Source organism: Homo sapiens, chromosome 10, assembly GCF_000001405.40.
Source record: "Homo sapiens chromosome 10, GRCh38.p14 Primary Assembly".
NCBI lineage: Eukaryota > Metazoa > Chordata > Mammalia > Primates > Hominidae > Homo > Homo sapiens.
In genome coordinates this window covers 131,401,855-131,427,794 of record NC_000010.11, presented here as the reverse complement: position 1 = coordinate 131,427,794, position 25,940 = coordinate 131,401,855, and the positions used below count along the sequence as shown (strand labels likewise).

At 50.5% G+C, this 25,940-nt stretch overlaps 2 annotated features.

The window, feature by feature from the left end:
• Positions 452-1,431: an enhancer, noted in NCBI's record as "H3K4me1 hESC enhancer chr10:133224627-133225606 (GRCh37/hg19 assembly coordinates)". NCBI's record gives its function as "activates a minimal SCP1, AML or CMV promoter by ChIP-STARR-seq in primed H9 embryonic stem cells {active_cell/tissue: H9 hESC(primed)}" and the evidence as "EXISTENCE:reporter gene assay evidence [ECO:0000049][PMID:30033119]".
• Positions 24,664-25,339: an enhancer, noted in NCBI's record as "H3K4me1 hESC enhancer chr10:133200719-133201394 (GRCh37/hg19 assembly coordinates)". NCBI's record gives its function as "activates a minimal SCP1, AML or CMV promoter by ChIP-STARR-seq in naive H9 embryonic stem cells {active_cell/tissue: H9 hESC(naive)}" and the evidence as "EXISTENCE:reporter gene assay evidence [ECO:0000049][PMID:30033119]".

Genomic DNA, 25,940 nt, shown 5'->3' with positions numbered 1-25,940 from the left:
CCAAATTTATGTTAATTAAGCAAGCTATAGTTTAATTTTCAGGTTCTGAAAATGATTAAGACTACCAAGCTGAGACAGCCTTGATGTCTAGAAGTGACATATAGAACTTCCTTCGTGTTATTTACCTCATGTGTTCAGAGAAAATGCCCCCCTTCTGGCTTGCATATTTAACTGTTGAAAGAAACATCTGTCTAGATAAAAAGAATTTTCTCACAGATATTGGTCATTCATTTGTAACTCCAATAAAAGTCAGGAAATCAGGCCATAGTTTGGGTAGATTTATTACGTGACCTTTGCAAAAGTCCCCGCTTACGAGATGGGATGGGAATGTTCTTTTGAAGTTTTACGATGTGCCTATAGTCAAGGCTTTGCTGCCGGGTGGATGACAGCCTAGGAGCAGGGCGCCACTGCTTCCAGTTTCTAAACAGAGAGAGGACCCACTGACGCTTTCCTGAGCCAAAGGCAGCGGTGCTGGGAATACTTAAATGCAGGTCCATAGGTCTTCTCAATACCTAGACTTTTCTCAGATGAAAACGTCTTATATTCAAAAGAAGAAAAGACAGATGTTGTGCTGCAGGAATGAAAAATGTGTCTTCCTTCCTCCCCGCCCCGATATTTGACTGCATGTCTGATTCCCTTTTTCCTTGGCTTGCCAGGAGAGCCAGACAGAAGCTCTGCCTCACACTGCAGCTCCGGAGAACGTGGGCAATGGCCAGGTAACCCCGGCAGTGAAGGTGTATCCTGAAGGGGTGGAGGAGGGGCTACGTCCTCAGAGTTGGGGTTTTTCCAGCTTCATAATGAGGAAGAGTTCAGGGAGCCCAGGGGAACATGGCTGGAGGAGGAGGTGCCCACTCTGGGCTCACACCCCTCCACCCTGCTGTCTGCACACTGACCGTGCTCCGTCCTGCACTGCCGGGCAGTTCAGCTGCCCTCTCCAAGCCTCTGCTCCTTGGTCTATGAGTGGGGAGGCTGACTGTGTCTGTTGTTGCAGGGTGAGGTAGGAAGAGCACGCACCCCTCCCCAGTAGCAACCACCAAGCTGATTATCCCAGGAGAGGCCACGCCCGCCGTGTGCATCCCCTTTGAGCTTCATTGGGCCCTGCCTGATGTGCCGGCATTCACAGCCCAGGTGCTTCGAATGCCTTAGCTCTTGTTTTAAGCACGGAAGTGTCCATTGGGTTGTGTGTGTGTGCTCAGGAATTTAAGACCACTCACTTCCTGGGTGTTCAGCCCAGGGGCCACTTTTCCTCTCAACCACAACAGGGATGCCTTCCCTGTCCTTGATTAGGGTGTTCTGGCCCTTCAAGTCACTGGTTCCAGCTGTAATCTGAGAAAACAAGGTCGCCTAAACATGAGTGATGGGCTCAGTAAATAGCAAAGGCAGAGGGATCAGGGAGCGGCCTTGACCCGATGTTCTGGCCAAAACTTGGGCAGCTGCCCAGACTCAGCTGCTCCAGCCCCTGCAAAGCAAGTCTAGGCTTCCCATGTCTGCAAATGGGAAGGGAAAAACCTTCACTCCCCACCTGCCCTGGCCCCTCCTTCCAGGGCTCTATTTTGAAAGTCCACGCTTCCCAGGCTGCAGTGCTGGTTGCTGCTGACAGCCCACACTGAGATGGGAGCAGACTGCCCAAGGGAGCCCGGCCAGGCCCCAGGTCTCCAGTGCTCATCCCTCAGAACTGCTTGTGCTTCTCTCTTCTGTCTGTTCTGTTAGGGCCAATGAAGAATTGGAGATGGGCCTGGGGTCATTTGCCTCCTGTGATGTTGGCTTCATCTCAGCCATGCAATGTGACCTCAGGACAAGGCAGGGTCCCACTGCGCCTCCCCAGCCCTGCTCAGCTCCTGCCCCTGTCCATGGTTCCATTTTCGGTGCCATTCCTCAGAAAAGGCCTAGAATCTTTCATCTTAGCCACGTGCATTCAGGCAAAGACTGTAGTTGCTGTTAGAAAGCTGGCCCCGGAAGCAGGGTCCAGGGCCACAGTGTCACTGAGCCCAAGGGCTCCCCAGCAGCCCAGATCTGGGGTTCGGAGGCAAGGCTCCTGGACGTGAGGAGCCGGGCAAAGGACGGGGCCCTACTCTTTCATAAGAAGGGCACAGAATGGGGATGCTGTGGGCCCTGAGGTCAGTTGGAGACCAGCCCTGCTACTGTCCCACTGCAGAGAGCTTTGGACGCTCCTCCCCCTTGTGCCCCTCACCCACTCTCCCATGGAATAAGCCCTGTGCAGGAGACTCTCCAACTCAGTCTATTTCAGAGAACCCAGTGTAAGATGCTGCTAACTTCACCCTGGGAGTTGTCCTAGAAAGAAGACTGTAGGAGGGGATTTGAGAGGTGGACCTTCCTCCAAATGGTGCTGACTGGGACTTTATACTGATGGGTACAGGGTACGGACCCCTCCTGACATGCTGTAATGCACACTTGTTACAGCGTTTACTGTCAGTGATGAGAATAGTATGAGAGTTGAAGGGGAGTCACGTGCTACGGTGAGGAAAATGACAACCGTCAAGGCTGTGCAGACTTTGAAATGGCAGCTGCAGCTGGGAGCCTTTGATTCACTCAAAAAGAGGGAATCTCTGGGGGACTAAGCACCACCTTAAGGCTGAATGCAGAGGCCCCGGGGCAGCATGGAAGTAAACGCAATCACCTGCAGCTGGATGGACGGAGCTGAGCAAAGGATGAGCTCAGGACTTAGGAGAAGATCTCCAGGGATTCAGAGGAGGGGCGTCTGCAGCTGGGGCTGCTCTCCTGAGCCAGGGCCAGGCCCTGCTGGGGAGGGGCAGAACCTGAGACGTGGAGTGGGACCGTACATGTAGATGTAACTGACAGCCACGAATCCACCATGTCCCCCTCCCTGCCCCACACTGACCCCTGCTGTGTCTGAAAGAATGACTCCATGTCTCATTGTTTTGGAAGATAAAGATAATTCAAAGACCACAAGTGAAATAGGTGCCTTATAACAGGGGTCTTCAACCCTCGGGCCATGGACTGGTCCTGGTCCGTGGCCTACTAGGAACCCAGGCCACACAGCAGGAGGTGAGCATGAGCCAGTGGTACTGCCTGAGCTCCGCCTCCTGTCCCATCAGCGATCAGCAGCGGCCTTAGAGTCTCATAGGCGCCTGAGCACTATTGTGAACTGTGTATGGGAGGGATCTAGGTTGCATGCTCCTTATGAGAATCTAGTGCCTGATGATCTGAGGTGGAACAGTTTCATCCTGAAACCATCCCACCCTCACTCTGCCAGTTCTGTGGAAAAATTGTCTTCCACGAAACCTATCGCTGGGACCAAAATGGTTGGGGACCGCTGCCTCACAAGATGACGCGATGCTCTTCAGTGTCTCTCCCCTTCCTGGAAGAGGGACAATATCGAGGGAACAGCTCCAGCCTGGGACTTCTGTTTCTGCCCATTATGAAGTCACTCATACAGAACTTGCTCTCCTGCAGTAAACAACTAGCAAATCAGACAAAATGCATGAGCATCTGTTTCCAGACACTGGACAACAGGCAGGGCAAGGCTGTGACCCCAGATAAGGGGGCAAGGCTGTGACCCCAGTCAGGGGAGCCCCACGCCCTGGGAATGCCCTGGCTTTCCGCCTGGAGGGATTTTCTAGAAGACTGCACCGGAAGGGAGAATTGGCCCAGTACAAAGCATTCGGATGGAGCTGAAGACACGGAAGTGGGGATGCAGGGAGGCTGAGGTGGCTAAACTTCCCAGGGGAGATTCTTGAAGAGGGGGGAGTTGTAATAGGGCAGAGCTCCAAAAACCTGCATCGCAGCAAATGTGAAGTTTTCTGTGTGTGTAGGATGAGACCACAGGAGGCCAGGCAAAGGCCAGCTATCAGGGAAAGAGCAAGTGTCCACAAGTCTCCACGAAAAGGAGCAACTTCCAGAGCTCTCACCAGGGAGTCGCATTGCAGTTCTGTTCATCTGAAATGAAGATGCTTTGCTGAGCCTCAGCATTCAGTCGGAAAGCAAGAAGGGTGACGCTCAGAGAGGAAGAGGGTTGCTCGAGGAGAGGAACACACTAGTCTATACCCCGCCCGGCACATTCCAAAGAGAGCCTCTGTGGATCGCGTTGACCTGGAGGTAACTTAACTGCCTGCCAGAGCAGAAGCCAACACCTCCGGAAAAGAAAACAAAATCCAGACAGGCAGTAATGTCACTTTCAAAATACCCAGTGTTTAATATTTTTAAAATTATGAGATATGCAAAGATGCAGGAAAATGTAACTTATAATGAAGAGAAAAAACCATTAAAAAACAGACTCAGAAATGAAAGAGTTGATGGAATCGGCAAATGAAAACTTTACTGAGACTATTAGAAATATGTTCAAAGATCCCGAGAAAAACAGGAACATATGAGATGAGAAAGGGATAAAGTGAAGTGATGTGTCCAGAGCTGGAAAATACAATGTCTACAATTAAAAATTCACTCGACAGGCTTCATAGCAGATTAGACACCACAGAAGAAAATAGCAGTGAATCTGGGGGCAATAGACACTGCCCGAAGTAAAGGGAGAGAAAAACCAGTGAGAAAAAGGTGCCATGGTGGTCACCCCTCTAAAGTCACAGAGTCTGTTTTCCAGTGTCGGTCTCAGAACTAGTTCGGAGATCCAAAACCCACTGGATGAAGTTTAGGCTGCAGGTTCCTATGAACGTTTCCTAAAATACGGTGTCAGATATGCTTGGTAATCGTTTTCTCATTAGTTTCCTAGAAAAGCCCACGACCTCTTACCTACACAAACACGCACCCAGGAAGGAGCCCCTGATAGCCCTTTGGAGATGCTGGACACAGGGTCTGCGTTGACCCTGATCCCCACCATGGCCCCTGCTGTAGGGAGCCTGTCAGGCAGAGTGGGGCCAGAGTCCTGTCCTAGGCATCGCTGATCCAGATGCCCAAAGGCCCACCATGGCCCCTGCTGTAGGGAGCCTGTCGGGGAGGGCGGTGCTGGAGTCCCGTCCCAGGCGTAGCTGATGCTGCACTCACTGGCATCCACTTTACCCATCCCAGAATCTATCATTGAAATTGATTGGAATCGGTAGGTGGAGAACTCTCATATTTGTTCCATGACCTGTGGAATAGGAACTATCATAATTTGGGGGGCCAAGTGGAAACGTCTTGACCGTGGGCAGTCCCCCAACTCCCAAGTATCCTTCTTTCTGTCCAATGGAATAAAAAAAATAAACAAACCAAACCAAATCACAACAGCAAAAAACAAGACTGCATCTCTGGAGGGAATGTTGGAGATTATTGCCACTATCAAAGGCTTAAAGAATGCAGGGATAGTGGTCACCACTATGTACCTACTTAATCTACGAAACTGAGCCCCACAACACTTGGCTAACTCATGATAGAAGACCCTGAACTACCAGATACTCAGCCACGTAGCAGCTCCATTTGTAGCACTGGGCTGAACGGTCTCCCACTGGGTAGAACTCTGGGAATTAACCTGCTCATACACTTTGAGCAGAGAGAGGAGTAGCCTAAGTCAAGAATATATGCACAATTACAAGCACTGGCAAATGGCCTGACTGGTTGCCTGGGATCCTGGAAAGACAAAGTGTAGAAGGCTGAGGACGAGAGGAGTGGGACAGCAGCATATAGATGGGTAGATGGGGCTCCAGGAGTGGACATAGAGTGTGAGCCTCTTGTCTTGCAAGCTGGCATCCATCAGGGAGCATCCACTCAACAGACAAATGGGCAGAATAGCTTGGCTAGTAATTGGCAGAATGGCCACACCTGTGCTGGCAAGCGGACATATGAGCAGATAGGCAAGGCAACAGTGACGGAGCTTATTCCTGGGCCCAACAGCTTGGGCCTTTGTTTATTACAGCTAATCCAGCTATGGATGCTGCCTGATGTCTAAACTGCCAGCAATAAAAACCAATACTGAGCTCCTTGTACAGCATCATCCCCTGAAAAAACCAACCAGGAACTTGGTATCAGATTGATACACTGAGCCTCTTCCATCTTAAAGGACAGTGATTCACCCTGGCTAGAATCAACACATATCCTGGATGTGGGTTTACCTGGTCTGCCTATGCCTATAGGGCTTTGCGTAGTGCTGGTATGCGAGGATGCATAGAGAGCTTTATCCTCCAAGTTAGGGTCCCACTTATGACCTCACTCCACCAAGAGACTGACTTTATAACAAAGGAGGTGTGGCAGTGGGCCCGTGACCCAGGCACCCACGGGTCCTGTCTCATCCTACAATGAAGAAGGTGTGGCAGTGGGCCCATGACCCAGGCACCCACGGGTCCTGTCACATCCTGCACTCTGCCCTGCATCACTAGAAGACCTAGAAGGCCTCAGCCTTGGAGAGCCTGAGAATGGCCTCTGGAAGGTGCAGGTGAGGCATCAGCTCAGATTCTTCCTATGAGAAGGGAGCATCATCCACCAAGATGCAATCCTCATCCTAAATCAATGCCCTCTCAAGAGACGCAGACACAACAGATGAGCGTAGCGGTGGCTCCACTCAACACCACTTCTAATGACCAAACCAGGACATTCGTGCTTCTCGTCTCACCACTGGAGGCTCTGAAGGTGTAAAAGTGTTGGTGCCCAGAGGTGAAATGCCTCCACCAGGGGATATAGTTGTGGTTACAGCAGTGCCTGTAGGGGACAGGTTCTGGAGCCAGGCTGCCTACACCAGCATGCAGGGGCAGTGCCCCACATGGGGCAGGGCCAACAGGAGGGTAGGGCCTGGGAGGGGCCAATAGGAGGGCAGGGCCTGGGCTGGGCCAACAGGAGGGCAGGGCCTGAGGACCCCAGCGGAGGAATGGATGGAACCAGCTGAAGCAGCTTGCATGGTGGGGCATGCAGGCCTTAGGGCAAGCATGAAGAATTTGTATTTATTTTTATTCTGAGAGCATTGAGAAACTACTGAAAACTTTCAGTTAGAGAAGTGACATAATCTGATTTATAATTTGAAGATGACCCTGCCCCTAGAGTGAACTCCATGGAGAATGGAAGCCACAGAACTGAGTTTGGAGGGGCGGCAGTGAAGACTGGGATCTCCAAGCCCTGTATTCTTCTTAGCCATAATCCTGGCACCACGGACCTGCTGCAGAAATCCATGCCCACCGGCTGGTGAATGCAGCTGCTCTGAGTGGGCACTGTTCCTGGCACTGAGGGCACTTGAAGGTCACCGCCATCTTCAGAATCAGCGTCAAGTGGAAAGGAAAGCTGGGCATTGTTCTTAGTTATTTTAGTCACATTGTCCTTTAGCCGTTGATGACAGAGTGACGTCTGCTGCACCCCAGAGCCCTTCACTGCCCTGCACCCCAGACATTCAGCCCCCAGAGAGAGCAGCGCTGGGAGCCTAGCCTTTCGTTCCGGGTGGGTTGAGCCGGTGGGAGCCTCAGCAGGAGGAAGAGGAGGGCGGGGGAGATGTCTACTCCCCTTCCCCCGCCAGCCAGCTTCTTCCTCCCTTGACCCCACCCTTCCATCAAGACCAGGCTCACCCTCCACTGCACTCCAGCCTGGGCGACAGTGAGACTCCGTCTCAAAAAAAAAAAAAAAAAAAAAAAAAAGACCAGGCTCACCCTTCGCCCCTGAAGGCCTGAGGTTGGGGCGGCCCCTCTTTCTATTAGTAGATCCTGAGTGCATCTGCATCTTGAACGTCTTCACCCTGACCGCACCGCCAAATGGTCCTGCATCAAACGCTCTTCCGTTCGTTCCTGTGGGAGGCATCCTCTCACTTCTGCTGCAAGCCTGAGCACATGAACTTCCGTCTTCCTTTGGACTCGGTGCGATCATTCTGCCCTTTGTGTTCTCTCCCAAGTACGGCATACGGTGAGTCGTCACGAGAAGGGTTCAAATCAGAGCAGCCGCCCGTGCAAGGTGACGATCAACTTGGCTCAGTTGTTACACGGCTAAGACGCTTGACGATTGAGCCTCTATCCCATGAACGTAGAGAAGATTCTAAACAGATATTCTAAATCAACCCCACCTGCTTCTTCATTGCGTTCTAAATTAGCCATGTACGTTTGTCACCTGAGCTGCTAAACAGGAACTTTAATGGCTTTGCATGGGTAGCTGAAAGCCCTTAAATCGTTCTAAAAGTTTACCTGAGGTCTAGAGTAAAACTCACTAATGTTAATGTCAACTGCATTGTTATTTATCTGGTCTCTTAATGGAAAAATAATGCATAATAACCCCTAAAAGTTAATACGAGGAAGGAGAGAATAACTGCTAAGTTTTTTGTTTTTTTGTTTTGTTTTGTTTTGAGACAGAGTCTCGCACTGTTGCCTGGGCTGGAGTGCAATGGCGCGATCTTGGCTCACTGCAACCTCCGCCTCCCAGGTTCAAGAGATTCTCCTCAGCCTCAGCCTCCTGAGTAGCTGGGATTACAGACGCCCACCATCTTTTTTTTTTTTTTTTTTTTTTTTAAGTTTCAACAAATCACTCTGTGCCCAGGGCTCAGGGACTCCCTGCCGGAGTCACTGTCTGTGCATTTGGGGTGTGGAGCACCTGGAACACCACGGTGTTTTCCATTTCCCACGGGGCTGCGTCTTCAGCGTGATGTTCGCCCTCCAAGTTGATACCGAGGCTTGGCTGAATGGGCATCCAGCACCCAGGAAGATGCCCACAGCACTTTCTCTTTAAAAATTTCTGCATTCTTTCTATATTATGTTTTCCAGTTATAAACAATTACAAAACCATCATAAAATAATTTAAAGTTAAATATCACAAACATAGTTAACTTGGAAATAAAAGTCAGATATAATCACTATGAAAATACTGTGTCTATTCTTTAAGATCTCTTCCTATACGTGTATTATAATTATTATTTTATGGGTGCATTTTACTTATAATAGATGACATTGATTCATCATTTTCTGCATGCCTGGCTGCATCTAAGTACTTTAAGCAGATTAGTCATGAGACACAGAAAAGTTGTGAAATATGCCTAGAGTGGCACAAAGCCAGGAGCTGAACTCCATCAAAACCAGCACTGTTGCAAAGGGAGACCATCCAACCACACGCTCACACTGCTGAAATTCGCTCTTCGCTTCACATGACTTCAGCATCTTTATAAATAAGATTTTTAGATTATGTCTTAACGGCTGCAAAGCATTTCACTTGTACCAAGAATTCATGCACTTAGTCTTCTATTAATAAACATGTAAGTTGTTTGAGTTCATTTTTCAATTACACTTAATGCCACGATGGTGATCACGTTTCGTACTTGGTGAATTTGTGATGGGGCTTTTGTCTGATGCACGCCAAGAAGAGAACCTGCCACATCAAAGCACCTACACAATCTTCATCCTGATAGCTATTGACAGATTGATTTCTAGCTCCCAACAGGAGTCAATGAGAGTGACTCTGTCATTCATAATCAAATCATTAATTTGATTATTAATGAGATTTGGTGTTTCTCACACACATACTGCCCCTTTGCATGGCTTTCTGTGGGAATGTTATGTCTTTATTTGTTATCCCTTTATTGTCTTTTTAATTTTTATTACTTTACAAGGTTTCCTTATATATTAAGGACGCTGCTGGATTACTAAGTAACAATTAGAAGCAATAAAGTAGATATTCATAAATTAACAGGAACTATAGAGCTGGATGAATAAGTAAAACAGAATGCCTATAGCATTATATTCTTCATGTAAATTAAAATAACACATGCATGGGTTCTTTTGGAAATAATGGGCAAGTTAATTTAGACCAAAACTACCACAGAGAACAATTAGAAAAGCTGGGAAAACAATGCTGAGAAAAATCAAAGAAGACCTAATTAAATGGAAGGATATGTGAGATGAATGCATCAGAAAATTCAATACTGTAAAGCTGTTAATCTCCCCAAATTTACCTATAGAGGCAAAGCTATATCGATCAAAATGCCAACAGGTTTGTGTGTGTGTGCGCGTGCACAGGCATGGGCATATCTGTGTAGGGGGAGAGGGTTATTTATTTAACTTTTGTAAATGTACAAGCAAATTCTAAAATTGATATGAAAATGCAAACTCTCCAAATAGTCAAGGTCTTACTTAAGAGGAAGAAAAAGTGTGAGAACATTTTTCCTTCATATCAGTATTTATTTTCTGTGCTATCTAAAAACATGGGTTATGGGAACGAAGGGAGACATAGAGACCAATATGGCAGAATGGAGTCCAGATACAATCCCTCCTGTGTGTGGACTCTGGATCTATGGCAAAGCCGGCACCACAGAGCACAGGGCAATGAACAGCGATGGGTCTGTGGGTTCTCCTTTCCGTATTTACCACAACACATAAATAGTAATTCCAGATGAGCTGTTGTTCTCAACCTGAAGGGGAATGCTACAGTTTTAGGATCATTTCCATTTCTGGGTAGGATGGAGCAGCTGAGGCAGACCGATCCCCCTCTGAGGACAATGAGAAAAACACAATAGTCGTTTTGATAGGATCAGAGCTGCCAGAGCTGTGAGAACTGGAGGGTCAGCACAGACACACCAGACACGCTTGTTTTCTGGGGCTGCTTGTCAGTTCTGGACACAAGGGAAAAGCTGTGAATGGGGGCTTTGCTTCGGTGAAACATCAACAAAGCCATTGGCCGTCTCCAAGTCCAGAGACATAAGATTGCACACTGGAGGCTCCAGTGCACAGCTGGTAAACCAACTTTGCCTCTGGAAAGCAGGAGGGGTGTTCAGTGGTTCCACCGCATTGAGAAGACACAAACGGAGCTCGTGATCCACAGGGGGAAGGGAACAGGTGCAGGGGCGCACCATGTTCTCAGCCCGCTGTGCTGAAGGTCACGCTGAGAAGGCATATGAGAGGCTGGTCCAGCATAGTATTCTGCTGCATAAATGCACCAACGTGTATTCATCCGTCATTATGCTGATACTTATCCAAGTTGCTTCCAACTTGGAGCTACTGTGGAAAGGGCTGCCACAGGCATTCCCATGCAGATGTTTTGTTGTGTATACATGCACATTTATGTTGGAAAAGGTAAATTTGTGAGTCCATTTAAAAGTACATTGATTGTAAAAACAAAACTAATATTGTCTTGTGTAATTTACAACATGTTAAATCAAAATCTGAATTGCTAAAAAGTAAAAGGCCTGCTAACGATCCCTCAAAAGCAGCAGTGAAATGAACCAGTGAAACTGCCCATAACAGCATGGGTGAGTCTCGCAGATGCAATGTTGTGTGAAAGACGTCAGTCACCATGGAGTGTGTGTCACAGTTGTATTTAGATTGAGTTTGTGCTTTTGGAGCACAGGACGGTGCTTAGCTTCAAGGAGCAGGGTGCAGTTACCCAAAGGTGGCATGGGGTGTCTGGATGCTGGTGATATCCTATTTTCTTGACCTGGAAGACGTTTATGCCTATTTTTATTGTGTGTAATTTACTGAGTGTTGTATTTGTGTTCTCTACATTGTTTTTAATAAAATAGTTACAAATATATACACATGGAAAACAGTACTCGTATGTTTCATTAGGATAAGAATCAAAGATACACAGCAGGCAGGTGAGGGCTGTTCCCCCAGGCTGGTGATGGAATGCAAGTGGGGGATAAGTAGAAAAGGGAAAAAAAAATAAATCTGGGCACCATGGCTCATGCCTGTAATCCCAGCACTTTGGGAGGCCAAAGCAGGAGGATCACTTGAGCTCAGAGTGTTGTACCGGCTTGGACAACATAGTGAGACCCCATCTCTAAAATTTAATTTTTTTTTTGAATTTAAATTAGCCAGGCACGATGGCACCTGCCTGTGGTCCTAGTTACTCAGGAGGCTGAGGTGGGAAGATCACTTGAGCCTGGGAGGTAGAGGCTGCACTGAGCTGTGATCATGGCACTGCACTCCAGCCTGGTATACAGAGCAAAACACCTATGAAGGAGAAGGGGAGGAAGAATAAGAAGAAGAAGGAGAAGGAGAAGGAGAAGGAGAAGGGGAGGAGGAGGAGGAGGAGAAGGAGAGAAGAAATGAAAGGAGGGTGGGAGAAAAAGAATGAGGGACAGGAAAAGGACAGACCTCACAGAGACAGGCTCTGACTGTGTGCCATTGTCTGGGAATGGGAAGTGAGACGTATTCCTCCTGTTCCCCCCGGGTTCTGGGGAAGGGCAGCCTTTTGTTGTCTAGAGCCCAATGAGCTTGTTCATGTGGCCCTTGAGAAATTGAAAATACAGGTTTGCCTCGCCTTGTTCCTTATCAACATCTCAACACATTGGTTCAATGGTCACAAAGCACTGGCTGTGACTCCCTGAGAATGAACCTGGAAGTTCATGCATACGAGGTGCTCGACAAATACATACAAAGCATTTTTACTCCTATTTTATTGAAAAAGAAACTGAGACTCCAAGAAAATAAGTTACTGGCTCCCCCTCAGTTATCCATGTGTAAGAGCAGGGATTAGAACTCACACAGCAAAAATATGGTGAGTCTGCATATTTGCATTAATACTTTCCAAACAATTTATTGCTCTCAGCAGCAAAACAAAACAATTTTTTAAAGGTTTCAAAAAAAAAAAACAGAATCAGACAGGATCCTCAGGAATATAAAATATGATCGTGCTCTTGAAAAGTGTACACTGTTAGGAAGATTCTTCTCTTGATGCTTATATGCACAAATGGCTTCATGGTTCAAACGGGTTCTGGAAAATTAATAAAATAAAAATGTATAATATTTGCCCAAATGCCTTGGTTTCAAGAACTAACGCTTATAGGGCATTTACGACGTCCCAGTCTCTGGTCTAAGTGCTATACAAATATTAACTCAATTTTTTAAAGCCACAGTTTTCTTCTGTGCTCCCCACCCCCAACCATCTTAGTCTTTTTAGCCAGTGATGGCTGGAGTTTGAATGCCACAAGCTGCATGACCCTACACCAGTCTCAAACTCTGCAGCTTGGGCCTTATCTTTCAAAGGGGACAGTGAGCAGCTTCTGCATAAAGGGGAATTTCACAGATTAAATGAGATCTTGAATGTGGAAGCATCAGCTCAGGCATGAGGCTGACGCTTTGTGAAAATCCAGGTGCCAGTCGCCTCCTCCTTGGACCCAAGTCGGGAACGCCAGGAAAGCATGGAAACAGAACAGTCTAGCTCTGCTTCTCTGGCTTTGCCTGCCTCGGAGGACGTGCGCCAACTGAGATGCCCTTGAGGCTCCCTGGGGAATGATGGGCAGATGCCAACCACCCTTGTTTCTCAGAGGAGGAAAGACAGACCCTCCTCCAAGATGACCCATGCTCTCTGCAGACAATCAGAGAAGAAAAATCCAGGCTTCTAATTTGCAGGGTAAGTGCCCTCCTCCCAAAACACTATTGTGAGAAGTCATTTTAGCGGCAGTGGCAATGTGATGTTTAGAAAATAGATCTTAGTAGAACCATACCTCATGTTTATAGTTTTTAAAAAGCATTCTGAGGACATTTACCCAAACTAGGTTATTAAGACAACTTTTTCTGGCTGTCAGACTCCTTCGTTGGGTCTGCTTTCTTTCCTTCATTTTCTTAGCCAATGAGACTATTACAAGGTTTGCTTAGTAAACCAATTTTTTAAGCTCAAAGAGAAACACCCGCTAAGAGGTTGCATTGCCTCTTCCCTAATCTTTTTAGCTTAGTGGGAAAATTTACTGTGGTCCTCTCCATTTTTCCCTTCACACACCACTGGTGACACATCATAGGGGATAATAAGTGAGAAAATGAAATTCTGTCTCCTTTCTAGAAATATACACCAGCATCGCTCAAGCCTCTGGCACTTTTATTCTCCCTTTCTCTCAAGCTTGCCTTGAGAATTGTGCAAGTCCACCTGTGCCTTCAAAAGAGAAATACTGAGGTTGTGTGGAACCCTTTTGCCCATCTCTTCTGAAGTGTATTTAGAAAGTAATCTCATGATTACTAGTTACCCTCTGATAGGTAATCGCTTTTTTAAATGGTTACAGTGCAGGCACTCAGAACTACTTTTTATAGCTGGGTGCCATGTATTTTTCTGGAAAGATGAACCGAGGAAATGATTTTCCAACTGTCATTGATATCTAAGGAAGACAGTGTGTCCACTGGGGAAGGAAAACATGCACAGCACAAGGTCTCAGGTTGACCTCCGTAGTCCTATGGCTCTGGGATTCTCCAGGGTCTTTCAGGGTCCTCCAGGGTCCTCTGGGATTCTCCACAGTCCTTCAGACTTTCCCACAGTCCTCCGGGTCTCCAGGGTTCCCCAGGGTCCTCCAGGGTTCTCTAGGGTCCTCCAGATTCCTCTGAGGTTCTCCAGGGTTCCCCAGGGTTCTCCAGGGATTCTAGGATTCTCTAGGGCTCTGTAGGCCCCTCTGGGTCTGTGTGATGAGGCCCTGCTGCCTCCCGCTGTCTGGGAACCCCTCAGCTCCTGGCTGCTCCCTCCTGCTTGCCCCTGACTTCTGTGCCTGCACTCGGGCCAGTGCAAGACAGAACCCCCATTCATACCATTTGCTCCTTGCTGATGGCCATGGTAAGCCACGTGGGGTGGTGGAAGGGCAACTGCTCTGGGACAGCCTAGGTCTGGATTGCTCACGAATTTCAGTCCCTTCAGTTCCCGTGGACACAGAGAGTGCTGCTTCCCTTTTCCCAGGGGACTCTGTGACCATGAACCCAAGACGCTGTCCCTGTTCAGCCCTGCTCCAGCCTCCACCAGCTGACTCTGCAGGTCATTCTCCCTCCTAGCCCCGGCCTGTTTTCCTCCTAAATTATACCAAATAGGATCGAAATTTCCACATGAACCTTCTAGACATTCTCCTTTCACCCACCTTATCCTCCTGCAATCACTTTTCCTCACTGAAGGGAGTCAGGGATCTTTCCACCTGTAAATCGGACATGGCTGCTCTGCATAAAGCCCCTGATGGCTCCCCCTCATCCTCAGACACCTGGGGATTCCTAGTGGCCTATCTCCCGCCTTTCCCCCGGCCCCACACACAAGGTGCTGCTGCTGCATGGAGTTGCCTGAATTTTTCCATTGTTCTCAACTCTGTCTCGCTCCCACGCACCCAGGGTTCCATCTCACACCTGCTGTAACCAAACACCACAGGCCAGAGGGTTGGAAACCACAGAAAGTCATCCTCTCAGGGTTCTGGGGGCTGGAAATCTGCAACCCAGGTGGCATCAGGGCTGGTTCCTTCTGAAGCTTTGAGGGTGAATCTGTTCCAGGCCCTCTCCTGGCTTCTGGCAGTTCCAGATATCCCTGGTGTCCCTTGGGTGGTTGATGCATTGCTCCCGTCTCTGCCTTCACTGTGACATGGCCACCTCCTCTGTGGGTCTTCTATCCTTCTCTCCTTAGGACACTTGTCATTGAATTTAGGGCTGAGCATAACCCAAGGCGATTTCATCTCAGGCTGCTTAACTTATTTATATCTGCAAATACCCTTTTTTTTTTTTCAAATAAAGTCACAGTCACAGGTTCTGGGTGGATGTAGCATTTTGAGGAGCCAACACTTGCCCACAATAGCACAGTGTCCTCACCCAGCCCTGCCCCTGCCTCTGTCCCAGCTGAGCCCTACTCATCTGTTAACCCTCTCCCTGGATGCCGTTTCTCTTCGGAAGTGCTCTGAGCCTCAGTGTCAGGTCTGCACACCGCCCGTGCTCCTGTGAAACAGGGATCAGTGCACCTGATCTCCCAACTGACAGCCCCCAGCCCTCTAACCACCCCCTCAGCACCTAACACAGCCCTGGCCCTGCACCCTGATCTCCCAACGGACGGCCCCCCAGCCCTCTAACCACCCCCCTCAGCACCTAACACAGCCCTGGCCCTGGGCACTTTTCCTTGCAGGTATCTGTTGACTGGCTGAGGACTCTGCACATACTGGGAAAGGAGCGGGGGCTCAGGAGTGAGGCCTGGTGAGTTCAGCATCCCTCCTAAGTGTGTGAGGGTCCTGAGGGTTTCTGCTGAGCCACACGTGCTTCTGGAGTGAGCTGAGGACAGTCTTGACAGCTTGGGTTGGGGGTCCCAAAGGGAGATTCTAGGGGCCTTGGCAGGTGGTGGTGTGGGTGGGGACAGGCGGCTGGAGGTGGAGCAGACCGGGCCTCCGGGCTCCCTTCTCATGTCTGCAGATGCTTCTGATGCTATACAGAACTTAGGGTCAAACCAAGGCTTCACCAGGCCCAGGATCCCCAGGCCTGAGGTCCTCTCCCGGTAGAACCCCTGGAACCCAGCTATGGTCAGGCTTTTCTGAAGATGCCTCTCCATGCAGTGGGCTGCTCAGACCCTCCCACCAGACCCCGGGAAGTGTGAAGAACATCTGCCCACAGCGGGCATGGTAGCTCCTCTCGTGCCTGGCTGGTGTGTGCTCTGCGGTGTCTCTGGGTGGTGCGTCTGTGTGCCCGTCTACCCCTGAAAATGAGTTTTAAAGATGACTGAAGCCAGTGACAGTCAACAGAAGTCAGGCTCCCCTGAGAGGGATGCACTGTTGTTTGACAGCCGTAATCAGGGGTCTGAAATGAGGGCTCAGGTGCCCAGTGTGGCTGGCCTTGTGTTTTGTATGGCTCACCAACTAAGAGGGGACTTCACGCTTTTAAATGTTGGAAGTTTCCAAAGAAGAATGATATTTCACGACGTGAAAGTTCCATGCCATTCAGACCACAGCGTCTGTGAACAAAGCAACGCTGGGCTGCAGCCCACCACGCAGGCACTGGCTGTCTGTAGCTGCCTCTGTACCACAGCAGAGCCCTCCAGCTCACAAAACCAAACACATTCACTCTCTGGTCCTTGACAGAAAAGGCTGGCTGATCTCCCTTTAGGAGGCAGAGCCACTGCACTGGGGCATCTGAGACGGGATCCGGGCATGTGTGTGTGAACTGGCTTCCTGGGAGATTCTCAAGCACAGTGAAGTTTGGGAATGTGGATCTAGACAGCTACACAACCCACAGCCCTGCTCAAAGACAGAGGTAGCTTTGGCCTCACTGGAGCTCACAGGGGTTCACCAAATTCTCAGGTTAATCTAAAGACCTGTAGGTGATGAGTCTGGGGTAGTTGTCATGACTACCCTGGAGGAAGTCTCGCTGGTGCCATGATGATACGGAATCAGGCCGTGGAACCAGGTAACACAAAGGCCCCGGCAGGCAGACTTCTGAAAGAGACTTCATTTGAAGAGCCACGAAGCTTCTGGCTTCCTGGGGTGGGTCGGTCACCATCTGGACCGCTGCTGGCTCCGGATCTGAGGGCGGTGCCGTCGCCTGGCGCCGCAGTCTTTGCTGGCATCAGCATGTGTTATAGTCGGTGCTCATGTCCCTTTAATTTCCATCACGTCTTTCTCCTCAACACTGGAAACATCGCCCTCCTGGTGAACACGTGTTTGAGGTTTTCTTGTAATGAAATTAATTGTACAACATCCAGTGATGGTTGCCCCCTTCCCTGCCCTGCGTGGAAGGTTCACGTCTTCTCCTACATCAGATCCTCCAAAAACTAGCAGAGCCTCACTCGGGCATTTCACGGAAGTTGTCTTTCTCTGGACAGTGAACACTAAGGCAATGTGGCTGTCGTAGGGATGTTAAAGGGAACCCTTGGTCTCTTTCTTCCCATGCTGGGTACAGCTCCAGGACCTCTGTCCCTGGGCCCTGAGACAAGGCCCTTCAGCTGGAGAGAAGGCGCCAGCAGCGACGCTTTTAGAAGCCTCTTATGGAGGAGCTGAACGTGAGCGTGTTTTTGCATTTACATGGACGCCGTTACCAGATGAGCCGCTTTCCTGACGACCGTGCAGAACAGAGCAGGGAGCTTCGCCTTGTAACGCGCTGTGTGGGTGCTGCTGCTTCATCATCAGACCAGACTCAGGGCTGAGTTAGGCCTGGGTTCAGATGCGGTGTTAACCTCTGAGGTGGCTGTGTCGGGGCAGCCCCCGCTGCAGTGGGGGCAGTTTCAGCCCATGACTCTGCCCCTAGGGAGTGCCACATCAGCTCTGCTCTGCAGAGACAGCTGCACCCATAAGACCACATGATTTGGGGTAGACATGTTGGTTCCCACAGTTTCAGAGGCTAGAAGTATGAATTCAAGGAGTTAGCAGGGTTGGTTCTTCCAGGAGGCTTGGCGGGAGGATCTGTCCTGGCCTCTCTCCCGGCTTCCGGTGGTCACTGGCCATCCCTGAGTCCTGTGGCTGCAGCCACGTCACTCCAGGCTCTTCCTCCACCTGCAAACGCCTCCTCCTCATATGTCTCTGTGTCTCCCATCCCCTTCCTGTAACGACACCAGTCATCAGGTTTAGGGTCCACAGGAATCAAGTAAGACCTCACTGGAATCTGGTTCTATCTCTAAGACTGTCCTTCCAAATAAGGTCACATTCAAAGGCAGCTGGGTTAGGATCTCAACATATCATCTTGGGACACACAATTCGACTCGCAGCAAAGCAGTTACCAGATTTTTATCTTCTTTTTAAAGGGCCTTGTTCCTCTTGGTTTAGACCAACGGGCTGAGCTTGTGTGAGTAAAACCTCTATCGCATGCACATCTTCCTCCTTGCAGGGTGCTGAGGGGGAGGACAGGCTTTCCTGGGAATGGTGAGACCGTCACTGACAGTCCTGGGACCTCTCATTTGACCCTTGTTGCAGCTGAGAGACGGGCACGTGGTGGGGATCACAACCCCACACACAGGATCACATGCGCTGAGCCTCGAGATGCCACACAACACCAGTGGCCTTGAGTCCTGTGTGGGTAGGACTGGGGCTGGAGCCCGTAGGCACTGTCCACGCCGTCCCACAGATGCACTTGATGCCAGGTACTGCTCCTCAGGCACAGTTCCCTTGAGCTGAGTTCCCTTTTCTGCTCATTGCTCCTCTTGAATTTTCCCCACAGATAAAATATTATATGTCGAGCTCTCACTTGGGAATCATGGCTGCATCTTTATTTTGTAATTGCCCTGAAGTGTTGGACCTGACTAAAATATCTGGCTGGGCACGGTGGTTCGTGCTTGTAATTCTAGCACTTTGGGAGGTCAAGGAGGGGGCATTGCTTGAGCCCAGGAGTTTGAGACCAGCCTGGGAAACACAGCAAAACCCTCATCTCCACAATCTTTTTTTTAAATGAGCTGGGTGTGGTGGCACACACCTGTTGTCCCAGATACTCAGGAGGCTGAGGCAGGAGAATCAGTTGAGCCTGGGGGTTCGAGGCTGCAGTGAGCCATGATGTGCTATTGCACTGCAGCTTGGGTGACAGAGCAAGAACCTGTCTCAGAACAAAACAAAACAAAACAAAACAAAAAACAAAAACAAAAAACTAACGTATGGCCACAATCTTAGCAAGTAACAGAGAAACATCCTCTTTAAAGCAACTCCATTGAACAAGAATCAACTTTGCTACAGAGAGATGCAGACAGCCAAGGATGGCGTCTCCAGAAGGAGAAGCCCTGGAGTCTTGGAGCCAGTTCTAGGATTCCCAGGGCCATGTGAATGTCTGCTCCTTCCCAGACTGGGGCTAGCCGTGGACCACCCTGATGCCCCTGGGAGCATCTCAGCCTCCGTGGGGCCTCTTGCTGCTCAGGTGCCTGGCCCCCTCCCACAGGTCCTAGCGGAGGCTTCCGCAGTCATGTAGATTACAAGGGGTACTGAGCTAAACGTGTTTAGAGTGTTCCATTATTACAGATTACTTTTAAATGAGACTGTGTAGCACTTATCGTAAATTTATCTCCTATCGACATACTTGTCACCTGTATTTTTATAATTAGTCCACTTTGATTTAATATTAACCATTCAAATGAAGCATAAACAAGAACAGTTTCTGAACAGCCATGATCCCCATCCTGGGAGAGAATCGTAATAGGTTTAGAGAGATGCTCAGCCCTCCCGAATCCCCACCTAAGGGCAGGACTTAGATCAGATTATCTGGGCAGAGCAATTCCTAAAGGGCTGTCTGTTTCCTGTGGCTGAAATGCTGGCTTGAGTCTGAATGCTCACAGAGCTTAGGATGAACTCAGGAATCACAACTCCCTTTCAAGAAAATGCAGAGGGAGAAAAGGAGGATGCAGGTAAGAGGCGTGATGCAGGAAGCTTTGCGTCTGTGCAGCGCCCGCAGCCCTTTAGGCTTTGTTGTGTCTGTTAACTTTCTTTCTTTCTTTTTTTTTTTTTTTTGAGATATGGTCTCACTCTGTCACCCAGGCTGGAATGCAGTAGTGAGATTATGGCTCACTGGGGCCTCAACTTCCTGGGCCCCAGAGTAGCTGGGACCACAGGTGCGCACCACCGTGCCTGGCTAAGTTTTATATTTTTGGTAGAGACAGCATTACTTCACATTGCCCAGGCTGGTCTTGAACTCCTGAGCTCAAGTGATTCACCTGCCTTGGCCTCCCAAAATGCTGGGACTACAGGTGTGGGCCACTGCACTCAGTGTGTTTCTGTCACCTCATTTTGATTCTCACGACTTCCCCACAAGCGCACTCCTGTCAACCTTTCTTGGTAGAGAAGTCGAGGCACAGAGAGGCTCTGTCATTGGCCCTAGAGGTCCCAGGACAGCTCAGGCTCATGGTGGGGCTGGGGCTGTGCCGTTGCCTGGGATGTCTGAGGCTTGTGGCTCAGGCAACTGCAGCTCCTGGCTCCTCGTCTCTTCCTGGGCTCCCCCTTTGCTCATGAGAGGTGACGCCCACCTTCCGTGGCTCAATGTCCATCGTCTCCCTGCCCCCATGGAGCCATGGAATGCCCTGGGCTGCTTGGGCAGCCCCTCCTTGCACTTGGAGACAAGACCTCACTGCTGAGTGCTGGTCCCCTCGCCAGGTACTCATTTGCTGGAATGTCCCCCACACAGGTGCAAAGAGCACAGTGACCAGGAGGGTGTGCTCCCTCCTTGGTGCCACTCACAAAGCCTGTCTGGCCTTAAAATACCAGCGAGGCTGTCCCCAGGCAGAGGTGGCTCGCCTCCGAGGACACCTGTCCACACATGTAACCTGCAGGAAGGTGCCCATCCAGGCTCTCTCCAGGTGGGTGCACCCTCAACCTTCTACCCAAACCCTAAGTGGTGCTCTGCTCCCAAGGACGGCTCACGGTGCTCTGCGGTCATGACGTCCACATGTCCCGTCCTTCTCCCGACACATGCAGAGATGCCGCTGAGTGGGGGAACTTCCGGGACCCTGTGGGAGTGCAGGCAGGAGTCACTGAACACTGGGGCCTGGGCATGGGAGGCCTCGGGCTGCCTGGGTTTCCACCCTTGGTGGCCATTTGTTAGTCCTGCAGCCTTGGCCACAGTCACCTCATTTCTGGTTTCAGTCCCCTCCTGTGTAAATGAGAAATGACACAGCTTTTTGGGTTGTTCTGATGGTTAAGAGAAGATACAGAGAAAGAGCTTGGCCCAGCCCTGGCACAGAGCAGGCCTTCAAGAATTGAACTGGCAGAGGCTGTGGCCATGGCAGGTCTCAGACCAGGGTGCTCTCTCCTGACCTGCTAGGAATGGACTTCCCCTTGGGAGAAAGCTCTTTTTCCAGCTACAGGGGATTCTCATTATTCACCACAGCTATGTCCTGTAAAGTCACTGTGAACATTGAATTCGTGAGTACTGAGGCCTTGCTCCTAGGGGAAATAGAGGAGTAGGCTCCTACAAGCTTCTGACCACTTTCTGCCAACCAATCAGTGCATGACCTTGTGTTATATGTAGAAGTTTAAGGCATCTTATTAAGTACACATTGCTGATTCTTTAACCCTGGACTCGTGGCCAGCAGCACAGTGGCTCATCCTTGGCAGGACTTCTCTAACACACGCAGTTCCTCCTGATGGCACGTCACAGGCATCCTGCCTTTAGGAACACTGCACAGGACTCCGGCTCTGTGCTCCATGAAGCAGTGAATACACCAACAAAATCCATAAAAATGCAAAACGTGACCTGCTAAACAGACTGCGCAAAGGATGCGCGTTTACGGTGCGGGGCTGAGAGGAGAAGACGGAGCCAAGACAGCCAGCCTGCCAACCTCAGCGGGAACGTGCCTGTGGCCGCATGGATGCTGTCACCTCTCTGCACACGTTCGTTAGTGACTGCGAAAGTACCACGAGTATCGACTTTAGCAAGCAGTTAAATTCGCAGACGTGGAATCCACGAATAACAGGCATCAACTGTATCTGCTCTTTGTATTCCCAAATATCCATGACTTCCACCAAGCAGGGACCTCAGCTGACCATTCAAGGTGACTCTTCCACCAAGCAGGGTCCTCAGCTGACCATTCAAGGTGACTCTTCCATCAAGCAGGGTCCTCAGCTGACCATTCAAGGTGACTCTTCCATCAAGCAGGGTCCTCAGCTGACCATTTAAGCTACCGCACAACCAACTCAACTTCTTTCAGCCTTAACCCAAGTCCTTTTTGGCACACGTTGGCTGATTCACAGGCCCTTCCGCAGACCACTCCCCACATGCCCAGGAGGATTCCTCCCGAGGTCTTGCTAAGAAAGAGGGTGTGATTCCAGAGGGAGAGTGAGGTCCAGGCTGGAGGGACCCTGTCTACACACCTGTTCTCCCCACTTCCTTCTTACAGGTGCATAGAACTAGGCTGTTCGTCACCTGGGCCTTACCTGTCCTGGTTCTCCGTGTCCTCCCCTGTACAAACAGACAGCGCTGCCTCCCCACAGGGAGCAGAGGGTGCATGAGACGATGCAGGTGGACTTTGGGAACTGCTCCCGGCAGAGGGTGCTCAGTGCACACAATTGGGGGGGTCCCTATTTGTCTTGCCAGAAAAGGCACATCCTTCCATCTCTGCTGAGCTTACGTGCAGCTCTGGGGAACCCATGTTCTCGCACATCCTCTGGTCAGCCACTCTAGGCCCGGAGTGCCCCCGGCCTACCAGGCCTCAGAGGATGGAGACTCGCTGCCCACCTGTGTCTCCCGACCCATAATCCGGGGGTCTCCTCAGGGACCACACCTTGACCCCCGTCCTCTGCATCCTCACAGAACCTGACCCAGAGCCACACACATGGGGAGACTAAACTCCTCCACTCCTCGAAGGAGTGACATTTATATCTATTCAGATGCTCCTCACAAATCAGACTTCCAATGTATGAAATATTTTCATGTGATTTATTGCTGCTTCCAGGAAGAAAATCTGAATTTAGACCAAGTCATCAATATTATTTAGTATTTACAACCCCTCACATTAATGTGAAATTCTGAAGCCACCATCTCCATTTGTCTGCTCTGTTTCTGCATCCCAGTAAATGGAGCCGGTGTTCCCTGGTGAATTACCAGCTGGCATGGCCGTGATTGAGTTTAACTTCCCTGTGGCATCTGATCACTGGCACAGGTTGGCTCACAGGGGACATTACAGACCCCTTCATGCACACACCCCAGGCCATTACCCCGGATTGGAGGGAGGCCCTGTGGGGACTGAGAAGAGCATGGAGAGCTTTGGTGCCAGATGCAGGCAGTGGCTGAGAGCGAAGGCATGTCCTGGCTGATGGCATGGCTCCCAGCTCTTCTCTGCTGGTGCCAGAATAAGAGCTAAAGCAGATGCCTCCCTGCCTGGGGGAGCCCCTCAAGAGGGGTGTCTAGGTGGGTGGGAGGGTCACTCCCACCGTGCTCTGTGCCTATGGGAGCCCCTGAGCCTGGGCAAGACCCCATTAGTGCAATATTGGGTGAGTGGGCAGAATGGTTATTTTCTAAACTCTCAGGCTTCCCCCAGGATCAGCCATGCTCTCCTGGTGATGAGGTCCTGCTGTTCCGCCCCATCGCTGGAGTTTGGAGTCAGCCCGGGAGTCCCCGGGGGGCTACAAGTCACCCTTGCGGTGGGCCAGGCTCAGTGAGGCCAGGGCTGTGGAGGGGAGGCCTCGCCCCAGGATGGCTGGTGGGGGAGATGCTCAGGACCAGGCTCTGGCAGCCCTACTGGGGGGCTTCCTCCAGCCATGCTGCTGTGGGCAGCTTGTCCCCATGGCCTGTGCTACCCCATGCCAGCCTCCCCCACCACCCGCCCCTGCTGATTGGATCTGTCCTTTGCTTTCTTTCCCTAGTGATGAATTTTGGAGGTGAAGTGCACAGCACGGTGTGACTGCCCCCTCCCGTGCCGCCAGCACAGAGATGCGAGAGACCCACAGAGGGACATTGCTCCTCTTTCCTCGCTGAGAAATTGTTCACAAATTGTTCAGGTAGAGTTCAAAGTTCTGAGTCACTAAGCCAGGCCCTGCTCTATGGGGCCCAGAAGGGTCTGGAATGAGCTATTCTCTACCCAAAGCAGCGGTGGCGCGGTCATGGCCCGAGAGCTGAGCTGAAAACGGTGAAATTAGGAAGCGCTCGGTTTTAAATGAGCGCTTTTCATGCTCAGGTCTCAGAAGCTGCTCTCCAGATGGTTTGTGTCTTTCTGTTTGAAACGTGAGCCACCTTTGCTGCCCTTGGTAGGTTGGAACCCGCAGCCCTTTTGATCTAGAAACTGAAAATGCCGGAGGATTTTTGGAGGTCACTTTCCTGGTCAATCCAAGGTCAGGGATCACAGACACTGGAGCAGACCCATCTGTTTTGATGCGGTGACTTGAGGACGATGGGAGGCTTCCTAGAAGCCGGATTCTGGGCAGCAAGACTCCCATCCAGAGGCCACTCCGAAGGGGGCGCGGACGGAGCCTGGTGCGAGACGCTTTCAAACCAGTCTTTCAAAGGGCAGGCGGGACGTGGCTGCGGCTCCCTTCCCCTCCCACATTCTCCTTTCCTTTGTATGTTTCGACAAACTCTGTGTGTAAGCTGCGGGTGGGGGAGTCCCACGGCCCGGCAGGAGGGACGACGGGCCGTCCTCATCTCTGTGGCCCCGGCTGCAGTGAATCCACACGTGGACCCTGAGGGGAAGGTGTGCCCTGTTCCGGGGAGGGGGGGCTTTCCACACCATGTTCTCCACCCATGGCCCGCCCAGCACCACCCACAGAGGGGAAGGAGGGCAAGGTCTCCAAGCCCAGGCTGGGCTGCCCTGGGGCACTCTCTGCCGCCCCAGGCCTCAGCACACCGGTCCCCATGGCTCCCCTGCAGCTGGTCCTCCGCTGGTGGGTGGCTGTGTCTGCAGTGTCTGCAGTGTCGCGGACACCCCACCCCATCCCCATGTTAAGATGCTACATCCAGAGCCCAGAAGATCCTGAAACACGCGCAGAGTTGGGGGCCGTCTGGTCAACCGCCCCATCCCCTGCCTCCTATCCCAGTGCCTTCTCAGCCCCCGACCTGGGGTAACAGCTGCTCGACATCCACACAGTTCAACCTCTGGGAAGCTGTTTAAGGCTGATTTTCTCCACGTAATTTCACATTGTTCAGTTTTTAAGTACCTTCCATTTTGATGCAATTAATGCTGAAGCTTTTCCTCTGGCAGTCAATGACGTATTTCTAGGACTCACTCCACTACAATGTCATTATTTCATCCTCATAACAAGGGAGCCAGTTCTCCTGTTGATGACAGAATATGCAGCAAGTCTCCTCACACCTGCCCCGTGTTAACTAGAGTAACAACGGCCACCCCGCCCTGTGAGCGACATTTAGAGCTAGGAGGGAGCCCCTCATTTCACACCTCTGCCCGCTTTTCGGCTGAAGAGTTGAATATGGATTTAGAGAATCATTAACAGGCTGGCATCAATATTAAGAGTGACTCGATATACAGGAATTACCTGTGGCTGAACTGTCTGTCTCCAGATTTCTAAGCGATCGCAAACACTACACATGGCCTGGGAGCTTTGAGGAATTTTCACAGAGAGGTGGGAGAGTGCCAAAGAAACCAATCAGGAAAGGGTTTGAATCCACATTACTCCACAGGGTGCGTGAATGAGTGGACGCATGGATAGGATATGACAGGAAATGATCTCACAGGACGTGGCTCGGTGCAAGAGATCCACAAGGAACCTGCTGGGGCGTGAATCCCCATCACACTGAGGTCACAGCTCGCTGGCTTCCATGTGCCACCCTTTCTGCAGAATCATGACCCCTGCACCACCCTCCATGGCCCCCACAATCCCTGGTCCTTTCCAAGGGCCTGCAGGCTCCTGGTGCACTTCCCTATCTGTCCCATTCCCAGACTTATCTGACATCTGGACGTGAGTTCTGCAGTGAGAAGATCGCTTCTTTAGTTTTCTAGGTTCTATTTTCAGATAAGAT